The following is a 6,726-nucleotide window of genomic DNA, read 5'->3' as shown; positions in this document are numbered from 1 at the left end:
GAGGAAAGGGAATTTCTTGTACACTCTTAGTTGTAATATAAATTAGTATAGCCACTATGGAAAACTGTATGGAGGTTCCTGAAAAACTTTAAAAACAGAACTACCATATGATCCAGCAATCCCACTGCTGGGTAATACATCCAAAGGAAACACAATCATTATGTGAAAGGTAGTCTGCACCTCATGTTCACTGCAGCACCGTTCACCATAGTTAAGGTATGAAATTAACCTAAATATCTATCAGATGAATGAGTAAAGAAACTGTGTGTGGGGGGGGTGGGGGGGGTGTATACATACATACATTTGCATATCATTCAGCTGAAAAAAAGAATAAAATCCTAATTATGCTAAATGAAATAAGCCAGGTACAGAAACACAGATACCGCATGATCTCACTTGTACGTGGGACCTAAAAGAGTTGATACATAGAAAGAAGGAGTAGATGGGAGGTTACTGGAGGCTGGACTTGGTTGAGCTGGGAAGTATTGGGGGCACATTGGTCAAAGGATACAAAATGATAGGAGGAATGATGTCAAGAGACCTATTGAACAACCCAGGGACAATAAGTAAATAAACAGCCATATAAACACAAGTGTCTTTGAGGAATTAGTCAAAGTTCAGAGCTTTGTAAAGGGAAAAGCAATTTCTAAAATGATTTCTGACATTGGAGTGTCGCTTTGTATCTGAAAGCAAGTTGCTGGAGAAAGACTTTGCTGTGTGATGTTTCCATGATCTCTGTATATGCATCTCATACATGGACAAGGTGGAAGTTTCTGAAAGACAGAAAGGTCACAAGAGGAATCATTTATTGTAAAAGAGTGAACAAGGGCATTCCTAAGGTAAAATACACAGGAGGAAAAATCAGGCTGTTAATGAGATCAAGAAGAAGAGAGCATTATGTAGTGTTTTGGACAAAGCTCTTTTCCAGCTGCTTTGCTTTTTTTTTTTTTCTGTCTTCACTGGGTTTTGCCTGGATCACTGTCCGCATGGCTGGCAGCTTCACAGACACCCTTCTCTGAATGCTGCATCTAACGTCATCCACATCCCCAAACTTCCTCCCTAAGGTACCTCCAGTTACTCTTTATCAATTTGACTGCTTGTTTCCCTGTTAACCCAAGTATTCTTCTTTTTCCTTTTTATCCTTGCCCCTCGCTGATTCCATCAAGGCTCTTGACTTTACATAACTCCTGGTTCTATTCTTCCAGTCCAAACATCTCTGATGAACTCCAGAATCATGTATCCAACTGCCTACTTGACATTCCTGCTTATATATCTAATAAGCATCTCCATTTAAGATGCCCTGCAAAGGGCCATTCATGTGACCTCTGAACTTGTTCCGCACTCAGCCTTTTCAACCTCAGTTCATGGCAGCGCCCTTCTTCATTTTCTCAGACCCAAAAGTTTGAAGTCATCCCTGGCTTCTCTGTCGTTCTCTTTCTCCCATATCCTATCCACCAGATAATCCTTTCATTTTATTGTTTTAATTTTTTTGCTGGAGACAGAATCTTGCTCTATTGCCAGGCTGGAATGCAGTGGCTCATTCTCAGTTTACTGCAACCTCCGCTTCCTGGGTTCAAGTGATTCTCCTGCCTCAGCCTCCCAAATAGTTGGGATTACAGGTGTGTGCCACCATGCCTGGCTAATTTTCCTATGTTTAGTAGAGATGGGGTTTCACCATGTTGGCCAGGCTGGTCTCAAACTCCCTGACCTCAGGTGATCTGCCCCTCTCAGCATCCCAAAGTTCTGGGATTACAGGCTTGAGCCACTGTGCCCAGCCTCATTAAAAAAAAAAAAAAAAAAAAAAAAAAAAAAAGATGACATGCCTTAGCAACCGTCTAGATTCTAAGAATGAAATGTATCAATAGAACGATATATAGTTTTACCTCTGTCTAATGGAAATTTGGAAAGTCATATAATATGTAACTCTATTTTCCAAAACTGTTTCAAATGCATAAAGTAACAGGGTTTGTCTGTTACTGGATAGTGCACAAATCAGATATATTATTTTTAATACTGAAAAGATTCTAAATGTTGGGCTTCTGTTAAATCAGCTTTTAAACATTCATAATAAAAAGTATTACATACTTCACATCTCTAAGTATTTGGACAATATATGTAATTTTAAGAGGACATAGTCTTTATAAATTGTGGGGGCAACAAGTTTACTATGGGATGAAATCTCACAGAATGCATAATGTGAGATGAGTGTATTGCACACATGGTAAAAAGATTCTATAATCGTGCACATTGCGATGAAATCTCGCTTTGATATTATTTCCTTTGGATCCATATTGGGAATTCAGTAACTCTATAATGTATCTTTTTCAGAAATTACTGGATTACTAAAGTCACCAAAGTGTCCTATGTTCAAATTTGACATTGCTCTGTCTCTCTCTCTCGCTCTCTCTTGCTCTAAAACAGTAATAAAATACTCATTATTTTAAGAGAATATTTGTCTAGAAAGATATAATGAGTACTCTGGATAGCTACATCCACTTTTCCGGGACAAAAGTAAAACCTCTTATATTTGCAATATAAAACTTAATGTGTTGTATAAATCTATATGACAGATGTTAATCAATTTATGATACATATTTTAATAAAAACATACAACTCTATTGTAGTTGTGTAAATGTTTTTTATTGGGTAGTTTAAGTAAATGCTATGGAAGGTCCTAATGAAACAACCTAAATGAGACCTAAGGCCTCTGTCTCTAGTGTAAAACCCCAGTTGATTTTACATGGAAACATGTTTGACAATGTATTGTCGATTGAACACCTTTATTCTTCTTGAAATCTGCATTGCTATTAACATAAAACCACTGAGCTGATGGTTGAATCTCAGTTCTCTCACTTAGTAAATGTATGATCCTGGGAAACTCGACGAACTTCTTTGGACTCAATTTCTTCCTCTGTTGTTTGACAGTTAACAATGCATACCAATTCCTCTTAAGCAGAGTATTCCAAAGTATTCCCATCTTTCCACATGTTCTGTTGAAGGAGAATGCATAATAACCAATCACAAGATCAATATGCCTTTAGTAGGCACTGTCTGTTTGCTCTCTTTCATATGAGAGACATAACAATAACTGATTTTCCATTTTCAGAGGAGACTAATACTTATTCCAGAGAAGACAAAGACTTTATTTAGAGTTTTTTAGACTAATACTTATTCCAGAGGAGACTAAATGAAAGTACCATCAACCACAAATACACACGGAGCAATCCCCGTATGCCGGGGCCTTTTCCAAGGGCACTGCATATATGAACTCCTCTAATCTTTGGATCAGTGTTTGGAGTTGGGCTCTATTATTTTCATCTCTTCTACAGAGGAAGAAATTAAGTCCCAAGAAGTTAGTTAAGTTTCCAAGCGTCATACGTTTACTAAGCGACAGAAGTGACACTCAACCACTTGCTCAGTGGTTTTATGTTAATAGCAAAGCAGACTTCAGGAAGAATAATAAAGGTGTTAGGAAATAATCTCATGAGGGAGGTGAGGTTGTTATTGCTGTGGAGTTAAAGAGCGGAGCTGAAGGTTTTAGCACCGAGGGCCAAAAATTCCCATCAGCAGAAAATGGAATAAGTCTACTTTAACAAAATGTTCACAAAATGCACATTTAATAATACAAGCTGCATTGATTTTGTATTATTCATTAATATAGAAGAAAGCCTTTAACGCTACGCTTGCTGTTACAGAAGGGCAGAAATGTTAAAAGATAACCAAAAACTAAGTCATCCTTTTCAGTGTGATAAAACTTGCTCTCTACAAGGGGAATATATTCAAATCCGTGGCAGATCTCAAACCATTAGAATACAGATATATTAAATTATTCATCGATTTTGGCAAATTATGAGGAACACAGGTTTTAGAAGATAATCATCTGACTAAACGCGATTTGATTATTTTTAAATAAACAAAACTTCATCTAATTCAAAATGTGGAATCTATTCCCATAGTAGACATGTAGCAGTTTCATTTTGGATGATCTTATCTCATTTCATTTACAAAAAAATAGTATCTTTCACATTCCTAGAATAGTCTTTGTTAGTGCAAGTGGCTTAGTGAAAATTTAGTAAACATATTCCTAAATATTAAATATAGAGAGCCTACCTTATAATAAGCAGCTACAAAGTGGAATGTATTTTTTCTTCTCTCTCACTTTGTTTTACTTCAGTCCATTCAGAATATCAGGCAGCCAAAGAGCAAGCAGGGATCCTGTTTGTTCCAAGCACTGTCCCAGATGCTTAAGGCCCATGGGTGAATGAGTTCCACAGAGTCCTGCCCTGAGCAAACTGGCGTTCCAACCAGATAAAGAGAACTGAATAAACCCAAGACACCTGAAAATGTTGAAGCATAGCTATTTATTTCAAAGAAATTTGTTCAATTCCCATTTCATGGGTGTCAAATAATATAAACTGTGTGTTTTAGAACCCTCTTTAAAAGTAATAAGTTGACTTCCTCTCAAGCTTGGCATTTGGTTGGTGGGGACCCAGGCGTGTTCAACATGCTTATCGAGAAGTATTATTTCCGTTCGGGGCCCATCTACCCTGGCCATGGCATGATGTTCGTCTGCAGTGATTGCAAGCTGTTCAGATTTTGTCAAGCTTAGTGTTATAAGAAACTTTAAAAAGAAGTGCAATCCTCGCAAAGTTGGTGGACCAAAGCATTTCGGAAAGCAGCTGGTAAAGATCTTACAGTGGATAATTCATTTGAATTTGCAAGACGTAGAATCTGAAAAACCTATCAAATACCAGCGAGAGCTATGGAATAAATCTATGGATGCAATGAAGAGAGTTGAAGAGATCAAACAGAAAAGCCAAGCTAAATTTATAATGAACAGATGGAAGAAAAATAAAGAGCTACAGAAAGTTTAGGATATCAAAGAAGTCAAGCAAAACATCCATCTTCTCCAAACCCCTCTTGCAGGCAAATGGTAACAGGTGGAAGAGAAAATGGTACAGCAGTTACAAAAGGATGTGGAGATAGAAGATGTTTCTTACAAATCTCTGAAAATGCCCTTTGGAGACTTGGAACTGGTAAATTATTAAATTTACCAGTTTACTAAACTTTCACTAAACCACTTGCACTAACAAAGACTATTCTAGGAATGTGAAGGATACATTTTTTTGTAAATGAAATGAGATAAGATCATCCAAAATGAAATTGCTACATGTCTACTATGGGAATAGATTCCATATTCCATATTTTGAATTAGACGAAGTTTTGTTTATTTAAAAATAATCAAATTGTGTTTAGTCAGATGATTATCTTCTAAAGTTAAAAAACTTTATTTTTTACATAAGGTCACTTAAATGAAAAGTGATTACAATATATGTCTCCTACATTGCCATGTACAAAACATCAGATATTACGGGTGTTAGATTGCATTTCAGTGTTAAATCTTCACTGATAGATGTACTTATCTATCAGTACATCTGATACTTATGATTTAAGTAAATCATAAAAATTCTACTTATCACTATAGAAATGAATTGTGGATGTAAAATTGTTATGTCATTTGGATAACGGCACTGGCATCATTTGTATAATAACTAATGGCAAAAATTCATGGCTAGTGATGTATAAAATAAAATCTTCTTTGCAGTAAAATATTCCCTTTATTAATGTTGTAGAAGGGAGGATACAACAAGGAATTAACAATTTGTATGACAGCGTCAAATATTATTTTGATTTTAGTATTTCCTGTTTTGGTTTATTTGCAGCTTAGAAGAGCATAATGACATTGTTTGATGAAGCCTCATTATGCTGGACTGTTTTGACCTGGTTTAACCCTTCTGATAGGGAGTTGTGGATGTTGGGGTGAGAACTGAATAATCTTTGCCTGGAGTGACATTACACTCTAGAATTTCCACTTTGGAGAATATTCAGTTCTAACTTGTGATTTCTGGTGGAACCAACTTTATTTTTCCAGCCTAGCAATGATCTAGAAGCAGAGGAATCCCAGTGCCTTTTAAAAGTTATTATGTGGTTTTTCTTTTAGAAAGCATCTGTTTTTAGAAAGTAGAATTTATGGGTAAAACACCTGTTCATTATTTGCACATAAAATCATTTAAAAAGTAAAAAACAAAAAACTAATAAGTTGAGGTGTTTGTAGTATTTACTGACACCCTTAAATAAATTATCTTAAAATTCAAGAATCACATCAGACTTGTTTTGAGATTAAATCATAAAGAATTGAAAGGGGTATCATATTTTTGTAAATTGATATAATTTTTATTTGAACATCGATTTTAATTTGAATTAATTTCATAATTTTTGTAGTGTGCATATGACAGAGAACCAATGCTTTAGATTTTAAAAAAATAGACTCTTTCCAAATATTCTGTTTAAGTCCCAAAATGAAACTTAAAATAGTATTAGCATAATGAATGCTACTATAAATACTGCACTTTCTAAAACTAAATAAGTAGGACTAGTTAGTTAAAATGTTGAAGGCATTAAGTTAACTTCATCATGAAAATTAATGTGAGACCTGAAAAAAGAGCAAGGTGATTGGTGAATAAGAGCAGAGTGAAATATTTTATTGAAAGGAAATCTTGTAAGAAAAATGAAAGACAAAGACGCATTTTTTAAAACAAGAGAAATGTAGGCTGTATTCAACTCCGGAAAGCTTCCATTGCCACTATTTACAAATCAATTTCTCCTCATAACATTCCAAATGCTGATGAAATCACAGAAATTTAAAATCTAAGTGTATGTTTAAAA

The 6,726-nt window shown here is 35.3% G+C and overlaps 1 pseudogene; it reads left to right on the top strand.

The window, feature by feature from the left end:
* Positions 4,454 to 6,081, top strand: RSL24D1P7 (ribosomal L24 domain containing 1 pseudogene 7; annotated as a pseudogene).

Source organism: Homo sapiens, chromosome 8 (genome assembly GCF_000001405.40).
Source record: "Homo sapiens chromosome 8, GRCh38.p14 Primary Assembly".
NCBI classification, from domain to species: domain Eukaryota; kingdom Metazoa; phylum Chordata; class Mammalia; order Primates; family Hominidae; genus Homo; species Homo sapiens.
The sequence above is the reverse complement of the archived record's forward strand: the minus strand, read 5'-3'. Positions and strand labels throughout refer to the sequence as shown.